A 27,202-nucleotide genomic window follows, 5' to 3' on the forward strand; every position below is an offset into this window, starting at 1 on the left:
TTGCTATTCAGAAAGTATAAAACCAGCATTTATTTTCTGTAAATTAATCACTTGTTCTTTACAACTCAGAGACATGTTTCATTCTAAGTCTCTACATTTTAAAACAGTAACTGAAACTCTTTTATTAAAAAAAATACATTCATCTAGTTACAAATCAAATACAGTCAGTCCTCTGTATTGGTGGATTCTGCATGTTATGTGGAGTCAACCAACCATGGGTGAAAAATATTAGGAAAAAAACATGGTTGCATCTGTACTAAACATGTACAGAGTTTTTTCTTGGCATTATTCTCTCAACATACAGTATACCACTATTTACATAGCATTTACATTTTACTAAGTATTGTAAGTTATCTAGAGATTTATTTAGAGATGATTTAGAGTATACACGAGGATGTGCATAGGTTATGGGCAAATACTATGCCATTTGATATCATGGACTTAAGTGTCTATGGATTTTGGTAGCCAAGGAGGGTCCTGGAACCAGTTCTCCATGAATACTAAGGGGCAACTAAGACAGAAAAGCCTAAACAGCTCTCTGCCCTTCCCCTGTTTTCCGTTTCTTCAGTCCCGCTTCTCAAGAGCAATTATCTTTCACCAGTTTCTCTTTCGAGTTCTGGCAGCTAGCTTGATATATTTAAATCACCAAAAATATATATAAACATCTTTTTTATGTCGTTTAATTTTGTAACACATCAAAAAACAACAAATTGGCGTGTTGGGACATGCTCCTTGTGTAATGTCATGATTCCCTTGATAGAGTTGCACTATCTGAATTTTGCATGTAACTTCATTAACCTAGTCTCAACAAGGACTCTTTATGGTTTGCTGTTAGATTTTTCTATTTACCATCACAGAACCAATTCACTGAATCTCAGGTAAATGGGGGCAGTTTTTCCTGAAGACTGCCAGAGTAGTCTGCAAAAGCTTTGTTTCTGTTGTCATTCCCCTTATGTTTAAGTTAGACATTGCTTCCCTGCCCAGATTTGCTCAGTGTTTTCTTGAAAACACTTTAATTCAATCTTAGATTTTTTTTTTTAACCAAGTCCTTTAATTAGTCATTTGGTAGCTTTTCCTAATACAGGTTCAAGATGTTTTACCCACAATTTCAAAATTAAAGAGTTTTGTTTTTTGGTAACTCATTTGGTGGCAAAACCTGGCCTGAACTGATTTGAGGGAATATTTATCCCCGTAAGTGTCTAATTATGAGCTACTGACCCACATCCCATTGGAACTATTACATAATTTAATATGCATACATGCTCTATTGCCTTTCTAAAATCTGAAGAGTTCTGAAACATTTCTGGCCCTGAAAACTTTGAATTCAGGGATTGTTGATCTGTATCATGAGAGTAGAATGTTACTAGTACTGTAATTACATAGGCGAACCCTGTTCTCTAAATACTATCTTAAGCCAACAGTGCTGTTTGTATTTGTGTCCACTACTGTCCAGTCATAAATAATTCTAGTTATTTAAAAAGATAATTTAAGACCTTGGCTAAATGTTTTCTTGAGAATAAAAAGGCAAAGGACATTGCACTTTTATAGAAGTAGTAATGGCAAGAAGAGCTACCACTCCGGGGCTGGAAGAACAAAGGGAAGAGTTTGGAATTATTAGAACCCAGCAAAATGGAGACTCTGAAGGGCTGGGATTGAGCTTCCGAGCAGGTGGCTCTGCCTGGCTGGAGCTGGTATGTCTGAGGTGGTACAATGAGGTTTCTGGGGCCCTGCCGACAGGAAGAAAACAGTCCTTCTTCCTCCTCTAGCCTGCCAGTCTTGCTCTAGTGCCCTCCATTAACACAGGCTATCAAAGAGCTGGTTGCCAAAGGAGGAATAGTTGACAGATTTTTAGTGCCAGGATTCCAAGGCAGAGTATAGAAGGATGGGTGTAGAGCTGAGAGGCAATAGCTAAAAAAATGGGCACAGACCAGGCCGGGTGCAGTTGCTCATGCCTGTAATCCTAGCACTTTGGGAGGCCGAGGCTGGCAGATCACTTATGGTCAGGAGTTCGAGACCAGCCTGGCCAACACAGTAAAGCCTGTCTCTACTAAAAAATACAAAAATCAGCTGGGTGTGGTGGCAGGCACCTGTAATTCCAGCTACTTGGGAGGCTGAGGCACGAAAATCACTTGAACCTGGGAGGCAGGGGTTGCGGTGAGCTGAGATCACGCCACTGTACTCCAGCCTGGGTGACAGAGTCAGACTTGGTCTCAAAAGAAAAAAAAGGGCACAGTCCAGATTTTAGGCTATTCAGTATCCATATACATCTGTCTAAACATGTGAATTTTCTGACAGCAGCAATAACAAATATATCCAAGTATCCCTCATATAAAAGGTGTTTTCATTCTCTCTACAAAAGGGGACATAAAAATTCAGTATAGTCAAATTAAATCATATCTTAACATTTAATATTTAATATGGGTGACAATCATGGTATGTACCTCTTGGTGATATTAGTTACTCCTTAAATTCATTTCCATTCCTTTACAAATATTTTATAATTTAATGACTAAATTATAAATTTAATCACTACCAATATTTTTTTCACAATAATTAGGGAAAAAGAGAGGGAAAGAAAAAAATTTGTTTATATATATTACATATATAAATTTTGTTAATATATGCAAATATATATTTATATTAATATAAATATAAGTATATAAATATATATTTATATTACATAAATATAAAGTATATATATTTTTATATACACATAAATAAATATAAAATATATATTTATATTAACATAACATAATTATATAATTTATAATATAAAACACTATATTGCCTATAATACATATCATAGAAGATAAAAATATAACCTATATAATAACATAACATCAGGCAGTATATCATATTGTATTTATATAACAAGGAAGAAAATATGCATTGTTGTTGTAGTCCTAGTTTTATAAGGCTGTAGTGATATTTATAACTTCTTTCTTCTATTAAACATCTTGTGTTTTCATTGCCCCCAGCCAGCATTTCAACTGGTCTAAACCCTTTACCTGGTGGGGTGATGCAAATTTTCATTATTAAAGTGTATTTTTTGTGGTCATGCCTTCCTTCACTTGTTATACTTTTCCAATAACTTTTGCTATTGTAATGGAAGTACTAAGAGGCACCTGAAAGAATACTCTGGGTTCCATGTATATTTTCCTTTCTGCTTTCATTTTATAGCCACAACTTTGTGTTGGTACTCAGGATCAATTGCTCCAGTCAATAGTGTGGCCCCTTTCTTTGGCTTCTGATATGGTGGCACAAGGAGCTCAAAATGACCAGGTAACATTTCCAACTTCCAATTCAGTGGCATCATTGCTGTGTCTTTTGGGTGGAAGTATTCCTCTAAAACCTCCAAACCTGCAAAGTTCAAAACTGGGGGGAACAGGCATCAAATAATCTGAGTGGGTATGATATTGAAAGAAGTTAATTCTACTTCTTACCCTTTGATGATTTCTGGACCCATCTATTCTGGCTTGTGAGAAATGACACCATACTGGTCATTGATTCATGGCTTATGGTAGCCTGTAAGGGAGAAACCAAACATTTCATGATATTGTCTCATAACTGGTATTGTAACAGAATCTTCAGTAAGTCATTCACTGTTCTATCAGACTAGTCATTTCCGAGCATTACATTGCATCAGAAACACAAAATTAGGTTTATTAGGTTGTTGCAGCAAGAGAGAATGCACATATTGGGGAACCAAGGGATGTCTCACAATGGGTGAATTAGAGAAGGCATTTATGGGGTTTAGGGAGCTGGAGTTAGTCACAGGATGATGTATCAGTCCGTTCTTATACTGCTAATAAGACACACCTGAGACTGGGTAATTTATAAAGGAAGGAGGCTTAATTGACTCACAGTTCCACATGGCTGGGGAGGCCTCGTGATCATTGCTGAAGGTAAATGAGCAAAGTCATGTCTTACATGATGGCAGGCAAAAGAGCTTGTGTAGGGAAACTCCCCTTTATATAATCATCAGATCTCATAAGACTTATTCACTTTCACTAGAACAGCACGGGAAAGACCGGCCTCCATGGTCAATTACTTCCCACCCAGTTCCTCTCACAACATGTGGGAATTATGGGAGCTAAAATTCAAGATGAGATGTGGGTGGGGACACAGCCAAATCATATCAAATGGTCTTGTCAGGGATTAGTCAGAATCTATAGACCAGACAAGTTGCTGGCACAGTCATTGGCCTTGTCTCTAACATATGAGTTGAGGCAGAGTTGCCATTTGATCAGTTGGTCAGCGGTCTGTCCTTGGAACACATGAGTCTAAATGAGCTGTGTTAAGAGTATGAATTTATATTGCTTGTCTTGCATGTCACAGTTTAGGACAGTTAATCTGTTTTGTGAGTCCTAGTACAGTTTTACAAATTGTGGTCTTTGCCTCAATTCTCAGATACCCCTTCACAGCAACCAACAGGGTATATTTTTCTACTTAATCAGAATCCCTTTCTGATGGACCATTCAGGATGTGATCAATCCAGATCTATACCACTCTTTGAGGGGTCATAACTGGGTATTGAGTTTTCAATGGTAGTTGTTTTTATCTCTTTAATCATCAGGACTTCTTGTTCTCTTTGTTGGATGATCACTTGTTGAATTATGTGGCATGACAGCAGCTGTGTAGTAACAAGACTCTGGAGATCACACAGTTGGCTTCGGCAACCCAGACAAATACTAAGATAAGGATTATTAAACTTTGCAAGGTACTTCAAAATACTAGGTAAACTTCCAAATCTGGGCCATGAAGACATGTCTCATAATCTATTTGGATCTTCCTCAATCAAGTGGCTTTTCCCATTAATTTGGATATGGATTACTCCGACAGTATCTGAATAATTAGTCCCATATCTAGTTACTGTCAGGGATAAGGATCTTAAGAGTACTGTGATTGAAGGCTAGGAGTGCTTATGAACAATTAAGAACCTTAAACCAGCAAAGAGGGAAGGAAATAACCAAGAAGTAAAACTCCCAATATATACAAAGAAGTGAGAGTAAGCAAAGGTTTTTCGCATCTGGGGTTCTTGTTGTAACAGTCTTGGGTGAAGTCAGTCTACTTCAAGAACCATTGGATCTATTGAGCCATAAAATTGAAGAGGCAGAGCAGCTTGCACTGTAGACTGGACTTGCTGCAGAACCTTCTCTTACTGAGTATGCTGAAATTTACAGCCTTATAAGTTATTTGATCAGAGAAGCACACACAAATGTGATATATATTTTCCCCAAATCCAGAGAGGCCCAGAGGTTTGGCATTGAGAAAGAAAAGTTTAAAATACCAGCATAGTATTTAGTTTTCTTGAGTCTTAATACTTTCAGAGAGAGATAAGAGCTGGACTCCAAAGATATACTAGGATGCTTAAGTCTGTTGTCTTTCAGTTCTATTATAATAGCATGCTAAACAAATGGAAAAACATCTCATGCTCATTGGTAAGAAGAATCAATATCATTAAAATGGCTATCCTGCCCAAAGCAATTTACAGATTCAATGCTATTTCTATCAAACTACCAAGGACATTTTTCACAGAACTAGAAAAAGTTATTTTAAAATTTATATGGAACCAAAAAAGAGCCTGAGTAGCCAAGGCATTCCTAAGCAAAAAGAACAAAGCTGGAGGAATCACATTACCTGACTTGAAACTATACAACAAGGCTACAGTGAACAAAACAGCATGGTGCTGGTACAAAAACAGACACATAGACCAATGGAACAGAACAGAGAGCCCAGAAATAAGGCTGCACATCTATGACCATCTGATCTTTGACAAAGCTGACAAAAACAAGCAATGGGGAAAAGACTCCCTATTCAATAAATGGTGCTGGGATAACTCTGTTACCATATGCAGAAGATTGAAGCTGGACCCCCTCCTTACGCCATATACAAAAATCAAAATTAATGACATAAATGTAAAACCCAAAACTATAAAAATGCTGGAAGACAACCTATGCAACACCATCCTGGACATAGGAAGAGTCAAAGATCTCTTGACAAATCACAACAAAAGCAAAAATTGACAAATGGGATGTAATGACACTTAAGAGTTTTTGCACAGCAAAATAAACTCTCATCAGAGTAAACAGACAACTTACAGATTGGGAGAAAATATTTGCAAACTATGTATCTGACAAAGGTCAAATACCCAGCATCTATAAGGAACTTAAACAAATTTACAAGAGAAAAACAGCCCCATTAAAATGTGGGCAAAGGACATGAACAGACACATCTCAAAAGAAGACACACGTGTGGCCAACAAGCATATGAAAAACTCAGTATCACTGATCTTTAGAGAAATGCAAATCAAAACCACAGCGATACGCCATCTCACACCAGTCAGAATGGCTATGATTAAACTGTCAAAAGATAACAGATGCTGGTGAGGTTGCAGAGAAAAGGGAACCCTTATACACTGTTGGTGGGGGTATAGATTAGTTTAACCATTGTGGAAAGCAGTATGGCAATTCCTCAAAGAGCTAAAGGCAGAACTACCATTAGACCCAGCAATTCCATTACTGGGTATATACCCAGAGGAATATAAAGCATTCTACCATAAAGACGTATGTACGTGAATGTTCATTGCAGCACTGTTCACAAAGACATGGGATCACCCTAAATGCCCGTCAATTACAGACTAGATAAAGGAAACGTGGTACATGTACACCATGGAATACTATGTAGCCAAAAAGAGAACAAGATCAGGTCTTTTGTGGGAACATGGATGGAGCTGAAGGCTGTCAACCTTAGCAAACTAATGAACAGAAAACCAAATACAGTATGTTCTCACTTGTAAGTGAGAGCTTGATGAAGAGAACTTATGAACAAAAAGATGGAAACAACAGACACTGGGGTCTACTTAACGTGGGAGGGCAAGAGGAGGGAGAGCAGCGGAAAATATAACTATTGGGTAATGATTTTCATCCTGGGTGACGTAATAACATGTACCACAAACCCCCATGACATGTGTTTATGTAACAAACCTTCACATGTACCCCCAAACCTAAAAAATTTAAAAAATTGTTTTCAGCACGTTAAAACTGTACAAAGCCCTTTGAATGCATTATCTCATTTAATCCTGACCACATTTTATTGAAGTTAACTGCGCAGGATTTTCAGGTTGATCTTTAGGAATCCTTGACTGCCTCTGGAGACACAGATCCACAATTTACAAAATCAAGCTGACGGTCAATGAGAACATCAAGATTTCCTCAAGGCTGGCCTGAGACTACTTATATCAGAATTGTCTCCAGAGCTTAGGGAAAACTTCGACTCCTGGGTTTCATGCCGAAACTTCCAAATTGGTATTTCTGAGGGTAGGGTCCAGGAATCTTCAACTCATTAATCTTCCCACCTTTCAAGGGGATTCTTATGCACCTTGAAATTGGAGGGCCACTGTTCTACCTATATTCATTAATTTCAGATTTCTATTAGATACATTAACTTTTATTAAGAGACAGGTTCTCACTCTGTCCCCCAGGCTGGAGTGCAGTGGCATGATCATAGCTCCCTGCATCCTGGAGCCCCTGAGTTCAAGGGATCCTCCCACCTGAGGCTCCCAAGTACTGAGACTACAGGCAAATACCATGCTGGGCTAATTTTTAAAATATTTTCTGTAGAGATGGGATCTCATTATGTTGACCAGGCTGGTCTCAAACACCAGGTCTTGGGTGATTCTCCTGCCTTGGCTTCCCAAAGATTTGGGATTACAGGTATGAGCCACTGCACCCAACCAGATATGTTAATTTTTTAAGAAGAAATTTACTAAATAATCTAATGTGGTGCTTAAGGCAGTCTACGATATTAAGTTCATAATAAAGTCTTTGGCCTGTTGCACTTATTAATAGCATCTTAATAAAACATCTATATGAGTAAATATTTAAGATACTATGTGATAGTCCTGATATGTGAGGCTTAGGTTCCTAAAAACACCATGGACGCTTTGGGAGGCCGAGGCAGGTGGATCATTTGAGGTCAGGAGTTCGAGACCAGCCTGACCAACATGGTGGAATCCTGTCTCTACTAAAAATACAAAAATTAGCCGGGCATGGTGGCGTATGCCTGTAGTCCCTGCTACTCGGGAGGCTGAGACAGGAGAATCGCTTGAACCCGGGAGGCAGAAGTTGCAGTGAGCTGAGATCACGCCATGGCACTCCAGTCTGGGTGACAGAGCTAGACTCCGTCTCCCAAAAAAAAAAAAAAAAAAAAAACCCCGCCATGGAAGGAGAATTCACAGGCAAGAAATTTTAGAATTTACGGGAATAGAGAGGTTGATGGATTAAAATCCTAAGAAAAGCTATTCTTTTATATATTTATTTGTGTGAACACAAAATTAAAATATTAAAGATATCTGTCTAAACGGACTATCATTGGGCCTTTTGCATGCCTTATATTAGTGTATTATTCCAGATTGTCTGTTGTAAGTGGCAGAAAGCCCAATCAAACTAACTTAAAAACATCTTTTCCCCTTGGCCCATATAACCGGAAAGGCAAGTTGGTAGTCTCGGCAGGATACCGGTGCACTTGGAGACCCCCAGGAATTTGTGTCTCTCCCATATGCCCTATATTGTCCACATTTGAGACAGGTTTCACCCAGTAGTGCAAAAAGATGACCATCACTAAGTCTAGGACTAGAGCACACCGGTATGACATTTCCTGGGAAAAATCCTTCTCTTTGTTAATTCCATTGAAAATCTCATGGCTGATCATCAGAGTTCTATGCACATTGATCAGAGTGATGCAGAACTTTTAATGTTCAGGCTGAAAGTGAAGTCAGCCTCACTAGAATTTGCTCTGAGAGCGGGGGAGGATGAATTCTTAAAGGAAAACCAGGAGGCTCTTTTTAGAAGAGAAGTATGGACCATGCAAGGTGAATACCACAGCTACAGTGGGTGAACGGAGAGGCATGCAGTTGGTTTTCATTTATTCTCTTTAAGATTTTTTTCTTTTTTGAGACGGAGTCTTGCTCTGTTGCCCAGGCTGGAGTGCAGTGGTGCTATCTCAGTTCACTGCAACCTCCGCCTCCCGGGTTCAAGCAATTCTCCTCTCTCAGCCTCCCAAGTAACTGGGACTACAGGCGCCCGCCATCACACCAGGCTAATTTTTTTGTAGTTTTAGTAGAGACGGGGTTTCACCGCGTTAGCTAGGATGGTCTCGATCTCCTGACCTCGTGATCCGCCCGCCTCAGCCTTCCAAAGTGCTGGGATTACAGGCGTGAGCCACCGCGCCCGGCCCTCTTTAAGATCTTTTAAGTAAATCTTTAGAATATTCCTTCTTTAGAGTTTCAATAGGATGTTTTTGGATTGCTGCAGACAACCTTCACAAAAGAGGCTTCTGTAGCCCCCCTACCCCCTGCATCGACCTCATTCCTTTTGAATTTTTTTTTTTTTTTTTTTGAGACGGAGTTTCACTCTTGTTGCCCAGGCTGGAGTGCAATAGCGCAATCTCGGCTCACTGCAACTTCCACCTCCCAGGTTCAAGCAATTTTCTTGCCTCAGCATCCCGAGTAGCTGGGGTTACAGACATGCGTCACCACGCCTGCCTAATTTTTGTATTTTTAGTAGAGATGAGTTTTCACCATGTTGGCCAGGCTGGCCTCGAACTCCTGATCTCAAGTGATGTGCCCACCTCAGCCTCCCAAAGTGCTGGGATTACAGGCGTGAGCCAACCACGCCCGGCCTATCTTTCTAATTTTTAACTCAGTTTTGATTTTCTTCTTTCTGGGCCCAATAATGAATAACTAGAACTCTTGGGATGTAAAACCTTTGTTTAGCTTTTTTTAAAACCTTGTTGGCATAGCCAACTAAGCATATCTCATACCTGGCCATAGTACAGAGGATTATATAGATTTAGTCATGAGGAATGTGTCATCAGGTTTAAGTCTGCAGTCAGACTTGCCTGAGTTCAAATCCTGATTTTATCATTTGCTAGCTGTGACCTGGGGCACATTTTAAACCTTTCTATGACTCAGTATCTTTGTCTACAGAGTCAGTCCAATAGTGCCCTCCCAACACGTTGCTGTGAGGATGGATTAAATGATCGGATCTATGTAGTACATTGTAAAGGCTCAATGAGCATTGACAAGAGTCTTTATGCCAAAGCTTGTGAAGTCTGCTGGTTACCTTTTTACTAGTATCTCATGCCTGTCTTCCTTACAAACATAAGTGTGTAGCTTTAAGCTTGGGATTTACTATCTCTCGACATTCTTTTCTTCTTTGCAAAAATCTTCATTACAAAACTCTCTACTCCAGTTCCACCACATACTTTACCTTCCTCTCCTATTTCCAGTTCTCATGTTCCCCTCTTCTCATTACTGCCAAGAGGACTGACTCAGCACTCTCTTATATGGAACTGAAATTCTTGAAGTTGCTAAAAAAGCAACGTAAAAGAAATCCTTATGAACAAAATTTTGGTGAGGTCAACTCAAGATGGGAGAATTTGTTCTATTATATATTTAGTTCTTAGATTTCACAAACAGATCTTGACTGCTTTACATGTGTGTCGATAAGACAGTTTGAAAGATTCATTGGGAGATAGAAAGCTAAATGATGCATTGCGTCTGCCCTTAAGGAGAGGAAAATTTTGAATCTGTTTTCCATTTTTATGCACTTGACTTTAAGATGAATTAAAACTGTTATAAAATGATCTGATTTTGAACATCTTTTAAAAGTAATTTGTTGTTACTTTCTCTGCATCTAATGAATCCACTGAAGAAGATGTAAAGGATGAAGATCACAATTTTAACTGATAATTATTGTGTGCTTACTGTATGTCAAGTCCTGTTCTAGGTGCTTTATTAACACTAAATCATTTAACTTATCATTCCCATGTTGCAGATGAAGAAATCGAGTCTCAGCTTAAGTCTCATGTCTAAGGTCGTGCAATTTATACATCTGGATTTTTTGAAATGCACAGGTATTTGCTTGTTAGGCATATACTTAAAGGAAAATCAGAAAATGTAGTAAATAATGATGTGGGGTTATGATAGCTCTTTGACTTTATGAATCATTAGAGTCATCCTAAAAGATTCTTCAGTTTGAAAATTCAGTTACTTCTTATCGTCTCATAATGTATTTCTATTTTGCTTCTGTCTATCCTCTTATTCATTTGTTTATTTGCTGACTTATTCAATAAATATTTAAGTGTCTACTCTGTTGCAAATCACATAAGACTCAGGTAAATAAAAGACTCATAGTTTCTCCAGAAGAGCGTGTTTTCAATCTAGGGGTGGTCACCTTTGGGAATTGAAAGTCATCCTCTATTAAATATTTTTTTTAAATTCCATTTTTGGGTGCTATTGACAGGGAAATCTGGGGTAAGTTAAGAAGGAGCCAAAATTTTCACTAGTGATAATACTGGCAAAGTTTTCTGGGGAGAAGAAAATGTCCTTTTTTGGAGCTTTTGCTTCTTTCTCCCCACACTTTGCCCACATGCTTTAGCTATAATTTCCTGTCAAACTTACTGATGTACTAATAAATAATGAAAAGGCTGATGCTGTTAGCCATTTCAGAATTACAAAAGCTTCTTTTTCTCAATACTATTGCCAATATTTATTTCTTAGGATTGTATATTACATTCAGAAAAACAAATATCCAAAAATGTAGATCTACTTGATAATGTAAACTGTCTTATTTTTATCAATACTGTTGTATTCCTGGTTTTGACTGTTTCCATCTCACTGCTGATGGAATTCCTAGTAAAACAAAAGAAAAAGCCTTATGTTCTTAATATAATAGTAGAGGGAGCATTTCATAATTCTTTAGAAAGGCCTACAGACCTAAAAGTGAGGATGCTTTCTAATGAGGAATCTGCATCACCTGGCCCAAGATCTGGTGAACTAAAGAGTTTGGGATCTAGATAGAAGTGAAAAATATGAACTCCAGAAAAGAAAGACTCTTAAATTCTCATGATAGAACATCAGATTTTCAACTACTGCAAGACAAATTTTTACTTATTTCTGGTTTCTGGAAGCTATGTTAAATTAGTTTGTGTTCTAAAATTTGAAAAGAATAGTCTGATTAAATTTCAAGATTACAAAATCCTCCCCAATGATATATTAAAATATGTATTTGATGTAAAATATAAATCTTTAAAATACATATTTGATTTTTTTCCCCTATAGGTAAAACACAAAAACCTAAGATGGAGAAAGGTATAATATATTCAACCTCAATTTCATGCTTCCATCTTCGTCTTTGACTGGAGGCCAGAGATTCTGAACATACTTTTTGGTTATTTCATAAGACTCACAAACCTAGTTGCAGGTGATGAAAAACTTAACACTGTTTGGCATAAGCCACTCAACTGCCTTGGGAGAGTTGGAAATTTTCCCTTTCCCAAAGCAGCAGAGCTAGTCGTTGAGAAGGAAATGAAGCACTGCTGCATATAATGTGTAAATTCTACTTCTTAGGCTTAAAAAGAATGCTTACCAATTGAAAACAGAGGCCACGTGGGGTATGACCAATGACCTTGTTCACATAAAGGTGTTAGAACTAGCAAGATTTTTCTGGCTTTTCCCCCTCTCTATATATTCATGGAGGTATGTGTGGTCAGTGATTTGGGCATCTTCAGAATTCAGGTTTCTGAGTTTCCATAGACAACCTAGTAGAGAAAATTTTGGTTCTTGATCCAGGTGTTGTTGACTTTTAGTCTAAGATATTTATGTCTCAAATAAGTAGAGCGTTTTAAAGATTTCTTCAAGGTTTTGAGAACAGGAAAGACAGAGTGCTTTTTAGCATTGAAAGATATCTTTAATTTTCTCATTTCCTGTGTCTGGTGTATTCACCTTCAATATTTCTTTCCTATCAACAAATTTCTAAACAGCTCTCCAATAGCATTCCATTTGAAATGAAATTGATTTTGTCTTGATGTAGCTAACATTAGGAGCTAAGTGCATATTTCCTGTTTAATCATTTCAACTTCATTTCCTAAAAAATGAACATACTGAGTATTTAACCTCTTTGGTGGTAGGAAAAAAAAAGTGCAGTCTTGTTGGCCCAGAGCCTAAAAACACCCAATAAGAGCTTTAAAGGCAGCAGTGTAGGAAGCAGTTAAGTATGTAATTAGAAACAAATCTAGAATCCTAAGATTTTCATTGGATAAAAACTCAGAATTTCTGGGAGTCAATCTTAAAAGGCACCTAATCCAATCACACATCTGGAGTTTAAGTCCCATCACACCCTTGCCAAGCAGTCACCCTAACATATAATGTCTTATCATGGCAGGGACGGGGAACTTAGCATACCCCAAAACAGCTCTTCCAATCATAAGGAAGGTTTTCATTATGTGGACTCAGCATCTATGTCATGGTAATTTTTACTCATTGGCTCTGGAGAAATCAATGGGGGGCACACAAAACAACATCAACATTCTATTCCACAGCTCAGTAAAATTTTAGACAGTCTGACACCTCCAATTCTATCAACAGTACCTGCATTTCAGCTCTGTACTGCACAGACTCTGATTTGTTTATGAGAGTTTGCTACTATGACACCTGATCTCAAGCCCTTGTTCAAGTTGTAGCCCGAGCAGGGCAGAGTAAATCATGACTTTCATCAGTCTTATTCACAGCAGTGAGATTCTATTAAAGTCTCAACAACAACAAAACAACCTGATTCAAAAAGTGCCAAGACATTTATCCAAAAAAGATGTACAAATGGCTAAAAAGCCATGAAAAAATGCTCAAAATCACTGGGGAAATGCAAATCAAAACTATAATGAGAAACCATCTCATACCCATTAGTATGGCTACTATCAGAAAACCCCCCAGAAAAATACCAAGTGTTGAAGATGTGGAATAATTGGAACCCTTTTGCACTGCTGATGGGAATGCAAAATGGAATAGTCACTGTGGAAACAATACAGTAGTTCCTCAAAAAATCAAATAGAATTACCATATGATTCAGCATTTCTATTTTGGGGTATATACTCAAAAGAATTAAAGCAGGATTTCAAAGATATTTGTACATCTATATTCATAATAGCTAAAATATGGAACCAGCCCAGGTGCTCGATAAACGAGTGGATAAGCAAAATGTGTATTTATATCTGAAATATCATTCAGCTTTAAAAAGGAAAAAAACTCAATATTTGCTATAACATGGATGAATCTTGAGGACGTTATGCTTAGTGAAATAAGCCAGTCACAAAAAATATACTTTATGGTTTCATTTCTATGAGATACTTAGAGTAGTCAAAATCAGAGGTACAGAAAGTAAAATGATGGTTATCAGAGGCTAGGGGGAGTAGAAATGGGGGTTCTTTAATGGATATAGAGTTTAACTTTTTCAAAATGAAGAGAACTCCAGAGATGGAGGATGGTAATGTAACACAATGTGAATGTACTTAGTGCTACTGAAGTGTATGCTTAAAAGTGGTTAAGATGGTAAATTTTGTTATGTGCATTTTACCACAATAAAAAATTGAGCAAAATAGTCTTGTGTCATAGACTACTAACTCTGTCCCACAACTGAAATCTATTGAATGTATTATCAATCTTTTTTATCCTATCTAGTAGATACTATAGCCATCAGCCCTCTTCTACACACATCACTAATAAGAAGCAACATTTCTTGTTATCTGGGCCACGGACTATTCAACTGCTTTGATGTATATGAACTCTCTTAAGCTACTGTGGAGTAGATATTACTATTGTTTCTGTTTACCAGTGTGACAATGGAGGCACTTAATGAGAGATAAAGTTACCTTGCTGAAGTTTATACAGGTCATTAGTGGAAGAACTAGAGAATGAACTAAAGCTGTCTAGTTCTATGTACCAGACATGTTATGCTTAGTTGGTTTTTCTGGATCCAGATGAAAGACTGGTCACATATTTCTATTAGAAACCAATTTATATTTGTTCATCACTCTGATCCAAATCTTTACGGATCCTCAGCTGGCATTCACTCTCACTCTAGGTTTCATGCTATTAGCAATTATGATCTTGTTTTCTAAATCTCATCCAAGACATTGATAAATGTGTAAAACTGACAGGGCCAAACTAAAAAACACCCTCTGGTGCATTATGAGAAGCCTCCCTCCAGGCTGACATCTTTGCATTAGTCAACTACTTTGGGTAGTAGTTGGGTAGTATGAAACCATGTGTGTGGCTTTATAATTATACTATTTTTCTAGCTGAAGGTTTCTCAACTTTAATGTCACAACACACTGGTGTTTTGCAATGGACTGTGAGGTATTTCATAACTAGTTTCTTTAAAAAATAGAACAGACTAAAGATTACCACCAAGTTAAAGCCATTCTCATTAACTTCCATTTTATCAAACTTTTTTGCATGTGGTATACAGGGTTAGGTGTTATAGCTGGCATGGGAATAATAGTGGGTATGTCCCTGGGAGAGTGAAATTAAAAAAATCAACTATCAAAAGTGTAGTGGTAGAAAAAAATGATAAATGCTGCCCTGGCTCACATTTTTTTTTTCATCTTGGTTATAAGAATTTAATAAGAAACTTTGTCAAATTCAATTTTAGTATTTCCTCTATTTTCATGGCCATGACCTCGTATCAGGTTCCTAACTTCTCTTTCATAGAGTATCAGAATGGATTTTTCACCTACTTTTTATTGTGAAAAACTTCAAACATATAGAAAAACTGAAATATAACAAACATCTATATGCCCACCTAGATTCCACATTTTACCAAAGTTCTTTTATCTGTATGTATATGTATGTACATATTTTGTTCCCTGGACCATTCGAAAATAGGTTGCAAGTATGACAATTTTTCTGGGGCCAGTAATTTGCCTTTGATCCATTCCCTGCTCTTCACCCTACACTGTGAAGGTACCTCTGGGAGCCATTTACTGCAAACTGCATTTCCCAGACTCCCTTGCAACTGGGTTTTGTAGGTTTTGGCCAATGTAAAGCATGGGCTGGAGATTGGATGAGAAGACAGGGTGTTTCTACCACTCTCTGTGTTTTGGGAAATGACTTCGTTTACTTCTGTCAGCCCCTTTTTCCACAATCCAGGCTTCCACTGGGGAGTCCTGGCTAGTTCCCACTGGACAGCCTTGGCTCCTGGACTCTGGTAATACAACCTCCTTCCATTGTCTCTTCAATCCCAGGGTGGTAGTGGTTTCCTGCTTTAGCTAATCTCTGGGTTGCCTTTTTGTCCCATTAGCCCTTTCACTTCTGACACTTTTTAGGCCAGTTCCCTGTATTGAATCCCATCTTTTGAACACCCTTTTGTGTGTGTGTGTGAGTTCTGTTTTCCTGATTCTGATTAACACGGCCTTTAAATTCTTCCCATTTCTCCTAAAAATAAGAACATTCTTTTATTAACCTCGATACCATTATCACTTAAGAAAATTAAGAATACCTCCCTAATAACATATAACACTCCAGCCCATATTAACATTTCTCAACTTGCTCCCCAAATGCAGTTTATAGTGACTGTTTCAAACTAAATCCAAAGTTTATTCATTGCATTTGATTGTTAAGTCTTTTCAGTCTCTTAATCTAGAACAATTTCACTAATTCCTTCACCTGCCCCCTGACCCATGCCCCACCATGATATTGACTTCTTAAAGAGACTAGGTCAGTGGTCTTCTAGAACATCCCTGAATTTTTCTGACTTTTCTTCTTGGTGCTATGGGACTTGTTCCTAACTCTAGTTTCTATAACCCAGAAGTTAGGTTATACAGGCTTGATTAAAGTCAAGATAAATATTTTTGGCAAGAATACTTAATAGATGCTGCTGTTGATTTCATATTGCATCACACTAGGAAATATACCACATCAGGATGTCCAGCTTCCAGTGATAATACATTTGATCATTTAGATAAGGCCATGGCTACTAGATCTCCCTGAATATAAATACATTTTTTACTTTTGCATTTTGTTTTTGGCATTCTTGTAGCCCTGTATGATAACTAATTGAATGTTAGTATTTGTTACATATAGTTTAGTTATCTTTACAGTTTCTATAGAATACTACCTTGGGGATTGTACATGTTCTATAAATATTTAGGAAATGAATGACCTGCCATGAATTTTATAGCAGCATGATTGCTTGCTCATATATCCTAGTTCCGTTTTCACTCATCTCTTTTTTTGTTCATCTCCTTTACTCTTAGTTTTTACCTCCACTGAAGAATGAATGAAATATAAATGGATTGGCACTAAAATCAACTTGCTTTCTGTCCATTCAAATCAGCCAACTCAACATGTCTGAAAACTCATCAACCTTCCTACCAAACTTGCTCTTCTCCCTGCATTGCTTAACTCAGTGCGTCACTCAGTAGCACCAGCCACCCACTAGACTGGAGGTTCATCTCTGATCCCTGACTGTCAATCACACCACTCATTCAGTTATTTCCCAAGCTATGTCCATTCTGGCTCCCTGTACGTCAAATCACTCAAATCTTATTACCATTACTCAAGGTTAGTTTTTCACTAATTTTCAGGTAGACTACTTCAAAGACTCACTTTCTCGCTTCCAGATGACCTCCCTCAAATCTCTCCTCCCTGGTTCATACTGATGGCCCAGGTTTCTTCATCTCAACCTCCTACTTAAACTCTTGTCAATCAACCTCCATTGTTAGCAGGATTCAAGCCTCGCTCTATCAAGGGCTGCTTGCTCTCCAGTCTTGCATCTTGATGCCGTGCCTTCTGCACCCACTACACGAGCCCCCATGTGTTACAGTCACAACGGACTGTACTCTCACGTTTACACACTTGTGCCCCTGCTGCTGCTCCTTGCTGTGGCACTCCACGTTGTATTCCCCTGGTTATCCTTTACTCATGCCTCAAGTCTTAGCTGAACAGGCATCTCTATGTGAATCCTTCCCTGATTCTCTCAGTGTATCCTTGCATCCAAGCACCTAGCACAGTGCTGACACAAGTAGGTGACCAATACATGTCTACCCACCCCACTGAAGGGGGTATCCAGCCATACTTCTCTCTGCAACCCTGAAAAGGCTTTCCCTGGTTCTTCCTTCCATCTGAATCAAACCCGAGCCCCGTTAGTCTCTCTTAGCAAAAATTTCCTCTATTGCCTAGACTTATGGCTAGATATAAATAGATATCAAAAATATAAAAATGTAGGAAAAAAGGAAAGAGTCAAGGCTGGAGGCAGAGTTTCCCAGAGCAGCAGCAGGGCCACTCTGTAGGTCTGTAGAGAAAGCCTGGGGACAAGAAGTCTAGTGAGGTACAGCTAACATCAGGCTGGATTATGTTATTGCCAGGAGTAAAGGGCCAACTCCAAATCAGAATGTGGGAATCACAGCAGGGCCAAATCGTGAAAGTCACAGCCAGAAGAATTCCGTGGTGCCCCTTCTTTCCATCTCATCACTGCGGTTGTGCAGACCAATGATGAATCTAGAAGTTCATGGTTTGCACCAGCCCTGTGAAATCACAAAACAGGGCTGATAATAGTTTCAGAAGAAAGACCAGGGATTGGTCCTAAATTGCAGTATTTTAAATAACCATTTCTTTTTCCTCAATGAATTCCCCTATGTTTTTCTACCTCTTTTGGAGAATAGCAAATGATAAACAGGGACCTAAGAAGGAATAAAAATAAACCAATGATGAATTTTAACAAGGCCAATTCAAAAGAATGCAAATACTACTGCATGAATCTGAATAGAAGGAGGAAAAATGTTCAAAGAAAAATGATTATACAAAGAATGATAAAAATAGGAGGTTGATGTATGGAAAAATGTAACACATGAAAAATAAGAAACCAGTTTCTAACTTCCTCATTTGCTTAGTGTTTGGTAATCATGTCACTCTTCCTAGAATCCTCCCAGTCCCTTAGTGTGGCCTGCAAAGCCTGGGATCTGGCCTCTGCCTAGATTTCCGGCTGCATCTCACACCTCCCTTCTTCTGTGCACTAGGTCCAACCACATGACTGTCCTTCTGTTTTTCAAATACACCAAGCTCCTTCTTGCCCCAGGGCCTTTGCAGATATTTCCCCCTCTTCCTGGAACAGTCCCCGCACCACCCCTGCTGCACTATTGATCCTTGTGCCAGCCTCCCCAGCCATGCTTCCCCCACAACCCTTAACAGGTTCTCCTTGATCCCTCCTTCCGTCTGAATTAGCTCTGTCATTTTTTTTTTTTTTTTTTTTGAGACAGAGTTTCACTCCTGTTGCCCAGGCTGGAGTGCAATGGCGCAATCTTGGCTCACTGCAACCTCCGCCTCCCAGGTTCAAGCAATTCTCCTGCCTTAGTCTACCGAGTAGCTGGGATTACAGGCATGCACAACCATGCCCGGCTAATTTTGTATTTTTAGTAGAGACCAGGTTTCTCCATGTTGATGCTGGTCTCAGACTCCTGACCTCAGGTGATCCACCCGCCTTGGCCTCCCAAAGTGCTGGGATTATAGGCGTGAGCCACCACGCCTGGCCGTGAAATTTTTCTTTATTGTGCTAATCAGAATTTGCAATCATGTATTCATCTGGGTGGTTACTTGTTTAAGGATTGGAGGTTTCATAAATGCAGGGAACATGCCTGTCTTGTTTTCTTCTAGACAGTAGGAACTCAATAGACAAGTTTTGATTGAGTGAAGACTGAAAGGGAGGATGAAGCAATGGACTGCCGTGTTCATCTTTGCAGCAGAGACTGTTTATACCTCAGTATCCCTCAGCATTATCTCTTCTTCATTAGTACTATAATAGAGCCTCAATATTGACCTGAATATATGCCTTCCCAGAAAAAGGCTACATTTTCTCAGACTCCCTTGCAGCAGAGTATAGCTGTATGACCAGGTTCTGGTTAATGGGATGTAAGTAGAAATATTTGCAACTAATCAAAAAGGTATTTCAAGGGGAGGAGTTGTGTGCTGGTCTTTGACTATTCATCCTTCCTATGTGCTGGGTTAAAGGTATGATGGTTGGAATTTAAGCAGCCAAATTGGATATGATATGGCAATCAAAGAGTTACATTGTGCAAAGTAGAAGGACACTGGATCCCTGATGATTTTGGGAAGCAGAGCTGCCACACTAGGTCAAGATCTGGAACCACTACAGCTGTACATAATCCTAAATGGCAAGCACAGATAAGGTGCTGTGAGACAGGCACAAGGCATGGGGCTTAAGGACATCTGAGCCCAGTCTTGAGAACATGGAAGATAAATGGGGAAAGACACTTCAGGGAATGCAAACCCCATTAATAAATATACTAAGTAATGAAGTAGCATAGTGTATTTAGGTAATGACAATTAAACCCTTAGTATCATTGATACACAAAAGGTAGAGCAAAAGCAGGTTACAAATAACACATAGACAATTGAGATTGTGGCAGGGATTGCTTCTTATCGAAACATCTATTCTCCCTTTCCTCCTTTACTGTGATAAGTCATCACTCATATTCTCTAAACATTTCTGTTTCTCCCCCTTTTGATAAATGGTAGAATTATACTTCCTGACGCCTTGCAGTTAGATGTAGCCAGGTGACTTGCTTTGGCTAATACATTGTGAACTTTAAAGAATAAAGTAGGAATTACCATGTTCTTTGGCCACGTTCCTGATCATGGTTCTGGGTTTCAGAGTGAAGACACGCAGAGCCAAGCCCTAACTAATCCAGGATGGTCATGTAACAAAAGAGGAAAATAAGACTTTGTTGTGGTTAAGCCTCTGAGACTTGAGGGTTTTTTGTTACTGCAGCATAATCTAGTTTATTCAGATAGATGGGACCCTGGTTTTATTCAGGGCAGCCATGCACCCAGATGAGATATTTTTCAGACTCCCTTGCAGCTAGGTATTGTCAGGTAACTAAGTGCTAGCTTTAAGACATAAGTTAAAGTGTTGTCTAAAACTCCTGGGAAGTCTGCATAAAGAGAAGTTACTTAATTGGAGATGTACTATTTTACCCTTTTACTTCTTTCTGTCATCTGAAATTCAGGTAATTATGGTTCACTCAAAGAACTGTCTTGGACCATGAGGCAATACAGTCTCTTATAAAACTGAACATGCAACTATTAATACCATACAACCTAGAAACTACTTGTGATGGTTAATATTGAGTGTCAACTTGATTGAATTGAAGTATGCAAAGTATTGTTCCTGGGTGCATCTGTGAGGGTGTTGCCAAAGGAGATTAACATTTGAGTCAGTAGACTGGGAGGGGCAGATCAACCCTTGATCTGGTGGCCACCATCTAATCAGCTGCAAGCATGGCTAGAATAAAGCAGGCAGAAGTTGGAAGAACGTGACTGACTGAGTCTCCTGGCCTTCATCTTTCTCCCATGCTGGATGCTTCCCATCCTCAAACATCAGACTCCAAGTTCTTCAGCTTTTGGACTCTTGGACCTACACTAGTGATTTGCCATGGGCTCTTAGGCCTTTGGCCACAGGCTGAAGGCTGCACTGCTGGCTTCCCTACTTTTGAGGTTTTGGAACTCAGACTGGCTTCCTTGTTCCTCACCTTGCAGATGGCCTATTGTGGGACTTTACCTTGTGATCGTGTGAGTCAATACTCCTTAATAAACTCCTCTTCATATATACATCTATCCTGTTAGTTCTGTCTCTCTAGAGAACCCTGACTAATACAGTACTCTTAGGCATTTATCCTAGAAGAATGAGAACTTATATTCACCCAAACATCTGTACCCAAATGTTCATAATAGTTTTATTCATAAGTCAAAAACTGTAAACAACCTAGAAGTCCTTCAACAGGCAAATGGCTAAACAAATTATGGTACATCATACTGTGGAATACTACTCAGGAATAAAAAGGAGCAAAATATTGGTGCATTATAAACACAATAACATGGAAGAATCTCTAGAGAATCATACTGAGTGATAAAATCCAAAATATTATATGCTGTATAATGCCATTTATGTAACATTATTAAATTGGAAAAATTATGGAATAGATTAGTGGCTGCAACTTGTGTTGATAAAAAGGGTAATTTGTATTGATAAAAATATTCTGCATCTTGACTGTATCATTGTCAATATCTTACTTGTGACATTGTACTAAACTTTTGCAAGATGTTACCATTGGGGAAAACTGGGTAAAGTGTCTATGGAATTGCTCTGTATTATTTCCTACAATTGCATGTGAATGTACAATTATATACAACAAATGAATGAAAAAAGCCATAAAGTTATAAAAGGGAAAAAAAATCACAAAAATCTGAGATATACCATAGACCAATTGAACAAAAGCTTCCTGGAGCTTGGATCTAGGGGCATTGGTATTTTTAATTAAGGTTTCTCAGGTGAATCTAATTTTCAGCTAGACTCGAACTCAAGACAGCTGCTAAAAAATGATGCTACACACTGCTCCAGGGCTTATTACAAGGCCTCGAAAGAGCCTTATCCTCAGCTCCAAGTCAGGCGACATATGCATGATACCGTAGAGGAGAGGAGAGAATGAAAGTAGGACTGCAGTGTTCGTCGTCATAGCTTATCCCCACTGCCCAACCAAAAGGTGGACATTGTTGGTGTTTCCTACCCAAATTTTGCCAAGCTAAGTGGGTAGTCAGGATTTTAATATGAGTGTAGAAATCAGAATGTTTTAGGGAGAGCCCAGCTGGATATTGGGCTTAGGCAGAGGACTTGTTGGTTTATCCGTCCTTTGCGTGAGCAGGACAAAAGAGGATGAGAAAGGGATAGCAGGGAAAAGAGAGAAGGTGAAATGGAGAAACCCATGTGTCCACTGTTTGTCTTGAATTTCCTCTGTGCCAAGGAATATCACTGTGTCATCTGGCTAGAGTCTTCAGGCTATTGCTCTACCCACAAGAGAGGACCTCTGGTTGTGGGAATCTTAATAGTAAGAGGTATGAAATACTGGTCATGAGAACTGAGGAGGGTCAGCTGGGAGTGGCTTCTCATAGCAGAACTAAGAGCCTTCTGAAGAGTTCACAGGGTACCCTACAAAGAAGCCAGAGGATTTTGAGGTCAGTTCAGCATTGGTCAAAAAAGGAATGAAAGCCAGCAGAGAGCAGACCACAAGAGCAACTAGTTATGCAAGATGCCGCTATCCTTGTCAATTCCTTCTTCCTGCCTCAGCACAGCAGAATAGCAGGTGCAATGGTTCTCAATCCTGGCTGCATGTTAGCATCACCTGAAGTTTTTAAAAGTACTGCTACCCAGACTGCACTCCTAGACACTAGGATTTAATCACATCCAGTACTCCCAATTCCATTCATGCCAACTGCCTTAAATACCACCTCCCTCTGGATGACTCACCATCTTCTGAGATTGAGACTGACATCCTCAGCCTCCTACCCAACATGTTCATGAGAATGACTCAAAGGCACCTCAAACTCATGCCATTATCTTCCTAAACAGTTTCTTTCCAAAGTTCCCTCTCTCAAGTAGTGGCTCCTTAATCTACTTGCCTGTGCAAGCCTAGATCCTTGAAGTTATTCTTGAAATTTCCCTCTTCCTTATTATTTGTCAATGTCTCTTGATTTTACTTCTTTCCATCATCAAAACCAACAGCCTAAGCTACCATTATCCCTTGTTTCTTCTACTGCAATAGCCTGCTAAAAGGCCTTCCATGTTAATTTTAATACTCATCTTCAGTTAATTTTTTACATTGCTCCTGAAATAACTGACTTTTGAAATAAAAATATGATTCCATCATCCCCACCTTCCCACTATCTCCAGTTGAAAATATTTGAGTGCTTTTCCATGGCACTTGGGTTCAAGAGCCAAATCACAGACATCCCATACAGGCTTACTGGGCCTGACACCTGCTCATCTCTTATTTTTCAGTCACTCCACTTTCTGTACCAGCTACTCTGTTCTTCTTTCTGATATTCTTAATGAGCAAAGTTCCCTCTAACCACAGGTCTTTTGCATGTGCTGTCCTCTATGTTTGAAATTCTCTTTGTTGGGCCTACTTCCTCACCCCTTTACTTTCAGATCTCAGATTGGGCCTCACTTCCTTCAGGAAGCCTTCTCTAATATGTCCCAACTAGGGAGCAACTTATACTAGTCATGGTTTTAAATTTACCTATTACCATGTGCTAAGGACTATGCTAAGGGCACATGCATCATTTCATTTAATCCATACAACCACCTAATGATGTTAGTACTATTGTCAATTACATTTTACAAATGAGGAAACTGAAAGAATGAAAGTAGCTTGTCTTTGGCCACAAAACTGATAATGACCTCAGGTCTGTCTGGTTCTAAAACCCATGTTACATGCGCTACATTGTACCACTCCCCAAAGACATGGTTCAGGGCATCTCCCTTATGGAGCCCCTTTCCCATCTGATATACCAGTCACCCATTAAAGGTAGACCAGAACTCAAGGCCTGCCCTCTAGACCAAGCCACCATCCACTAGCTTCTGTGGCTTCTCTGTGCTGGGTACAAACATATGACAGCACAGGCAGAGGCAAGCTGGAGAGATGACAAAGTAAATTCATGACAGTATAAGGAAAACATGATAAATGAAAGTCATGCAATGGGAGGATGGGAGGATCACTGAGAGGCTTGTAGGGCTTATTTTGCATGTGTACAAGGAATGAGTGACTAGTGATAGCAACAATAGGGCTTTCTCAGAGATGGAAGAGCCGTTTTACTAAAGGAGAAAGTAAACATTACTTAGGACAAATCTCATATCATACTTTAGTGTTTACAAAGGAGACAGAGGGAGACAGGCCAGGAAAGAACAGATTTCCCAGGGGAGGAAATTGCAATGAAAATAAGTAATCTGGATCAAGTCAGAGCATGTTTGAACAAAAAGAATACCCAAGGACAGAGGAAACTCTAAGGATAAGATAGGATTTTATTCAGCAGGAACCCCTGCTAGCTTTATTTTAGACTGTTTTTAAAATGGTGAGTAGTCAAATGCAAGGGAAGAAGCTCTATGAACTAACACCATTTCCTATAGGTTTTGATGCTTGAAAGTTTCCCCCAGGTTCAGAATACATATTTTAAAATTTAGAACGGCTTTAACATCTAACAATCGGAAAATGTTTAAGTAAATCACAGCCCATGCCATGAGATGGAATAATATGCACCCCTTAAAATGATGCAGATGACAAAATGCAATGACTCAGGATAACATTTGTTATGTTAAAAGTCTGGCTCTCTTCCTGGCCCCCTTCCTTACACTATATACAAAAATTAATTCAAGATGGATTAAAGAATTAAATGTAAAACCTCAAACTATAAAAACCTTGGACATAGGAAAAGGGAAAGATTTCATGACAGAGATGCCAAAAGCAATTTCAGCAATAGCAAAAATTGTCAAATGGGATCTCTTTAAACTGAAGAGCTTCTGCACAGCAAAAGAAACTATCAACAGAGTAAACAGACAACCTATAGAATGGGGGAAAACATTGCAGACTATTCATCTGACAAAGGCCTAATATCCAGCATCTCTAAGGAACTTAAATTTACAAGAAAACAAACTCATTAAAAAGTGGGCAAAAGACATGACATACTTTTCAAAAGAAGACGTGTGGCCAATAAGCATACCAAAAAAAGCTCAACATCACTGATCATTAGAGAAATGCAAATTGAAACCACAATGAGACAACATCTCACACCAGTCAGAATGGCTATTATTAAGTCACAAAATGACAGATGCTGGTGAGGTTACAGAGAAAAAGGAATGTTTTTACACTGTTGGTGGGAGTGTGAATTAGTTCAACCATTGTGGAACCATTGTGGAAAAACAGTGTGGTGATTCCTCAAAGACCTAAAAACAGAAATACCATTCAACCCAGCAATGTCATTACTGAGTACATATCCAAAGGCATATAAATCATTCTGTCACAAAGACACAGATACTCATATGTTTAGTGCAGCACTATTCACAGTAGCAAAGTTATGGAATAAATCTACATGCCCATCAGTGGCAGATTGGATAAAGAAAATGTGGTACGTATACACCATGGAGCACTATGCAGTCATAAAAAAGAATGAGATCATGTCCTTTACAGGGACATGGATGGAGCTGGAGGCCATTAATCTTAGCACACTAATGCAGGAACAGAAAACCAAATACCACATGTTCTCACTTATAAGTAGGAGCTAAATTATGATGAGACATGGACGCATGTGGGGGAATAACACACAGTGGGGGGGGTCAGGGGGAGAGGCGGCAGAAGATCAGGAAAAACAACTAATGGGTACTAGGCTTAATACCTGGGTGATGAAATAATCTGTACAACAAATCCCCATGACCCAAATTTACCTATATAACAAACCTGCACATGTACTGCTGAACTTAAAAAAAAAGCAAAATACAAAATATACAAAATACATGTGATTACAACAACATCAAAATATTTTCTTTTTATATCTTAATTTTTAAACTTCAATAAGTGTGTATTTTAGGAATTGGTATAAAACACAAATGTTATTTATAATGTTGTAGCCCTCTTTCATGTCTTATATTCATTTTTTCTCCATGTGTGCACAGAAGGTATTTTCAACACCTCCATTAGGTCCGTGGCCACTCGTTTTTTTCCTGGGCTATAAACACTGCTGTTAGTTCCTTGGGCTTCCTTCTCTCATGGATGACTTTACGAGGGTTTTAATTTTGCTTTTCTGAGTAGTGGCTTTTTTTCTGAGATACCCATATTAACTTCAAGAAAGTCTCCTAGGATACCCTGACTACTAGCTGGGCATTCTCTAATATTGAGCACATACTGTCTTCTGTAGAGATCATATTCATTTTCTATTGGTAAACAATAAATTATCACAACTTGGTGGCATAAAATGACATCCATTTATTAGCTCACAATTTCTGTGGGTCAGGAGTCCTAGTAACTAGGTCCTCTGCTCAGCAGTCCCCCAAGGCTGAAATTCAAGTGTTGGCCAGAGCTTTGATCTCATCTGAGGCTCAGGATCCTTTCCCAGCTCAAGGATTTTTGCCAGAATTCAGTCCTTTGTGGTTGTAGGACTGAGGTCGCCATTTCTTGTTGTCTTTTGGCTGGAAGTGTTCCTTGCTTCCCTAGGGGCTTCCCTTAGGTCCTAGCCATGTAGTCCTCTCACAGCCTGGCAGCTTTCTTCTTCAAGGATAGTGGAGACTATCCACTGTTGCTTTGAGTCTCTTTTTGGTGCTTACCTAATTAGGTCAGGCCCACCCAAGGAAACCTCTTTTTGAGTACGGTTGATTGAGTAGGGTCATGATTTGCATCTGCAAAATCGCTTCATCTTTGCCACATAACAGCCTACTGATGAGAGTGATATACCATCATATTCACATATGATGTGGTCCTGCCCACACTCAAGGGGAGGCGATTACAAATAGAGTGTATATATCAGGGG

The 27,202-nt window shown here is 38.9% G+C and overlaps 1 long non-coding RNA gene across 1 annotated transcript in view, besides 1 other annotated feature; it reads right to left on the reverse strand.

The window, feature by feature from the left end:
• Positions 1–2,897: 2,897 nt before the first annotated feature.
• The window catches only part of LOC105373718 (uncharacterized), a 93,832-nt gene continuing 69,527 nt past the window's right edge, over positions 2,898–27,202 (reverse strand). Inside the window, exon 3 of the long non-coding RNA XR_923526.3 lies at positions 2,898–3,525. This is a non-coding gene — a long non-coding RNA (uncharacterized LOC105373718). The remainder of the gene's footprint in view (positions 3,526–27,202) is intronic.
• Positions 17,858–18,027: an enhancer, noted in NCBI's record as "experimental_54167 CRE fragment used in MPRA reporter constructs". NCBI's record gives its function as "activates a minimal promoter by MPRAs in K562 erythroleukemia cells, with activity observed for both the introgressed and non-introgressed 2:161426247 variant alleles {active_cell/tissue: K562}" and the evidence as "EXISTENCE:reporter gene assay evidence [ECO:0000049][PMID:34662402]".

The sequence above is a fragment of the Homo sapiens genome, chromosome 2 (genome assembly GCF_000001405.40).
Source record: "Homo sapiens chromosome 2, GRCh38.p14 Primary Assembly".
NCBI classification, from domain to species: domain Eukaryota; kingdom Metazoa; phylum Chordata; class Mammalia; order Primates; family Hominidae; genus Homo; species Homo sapiens.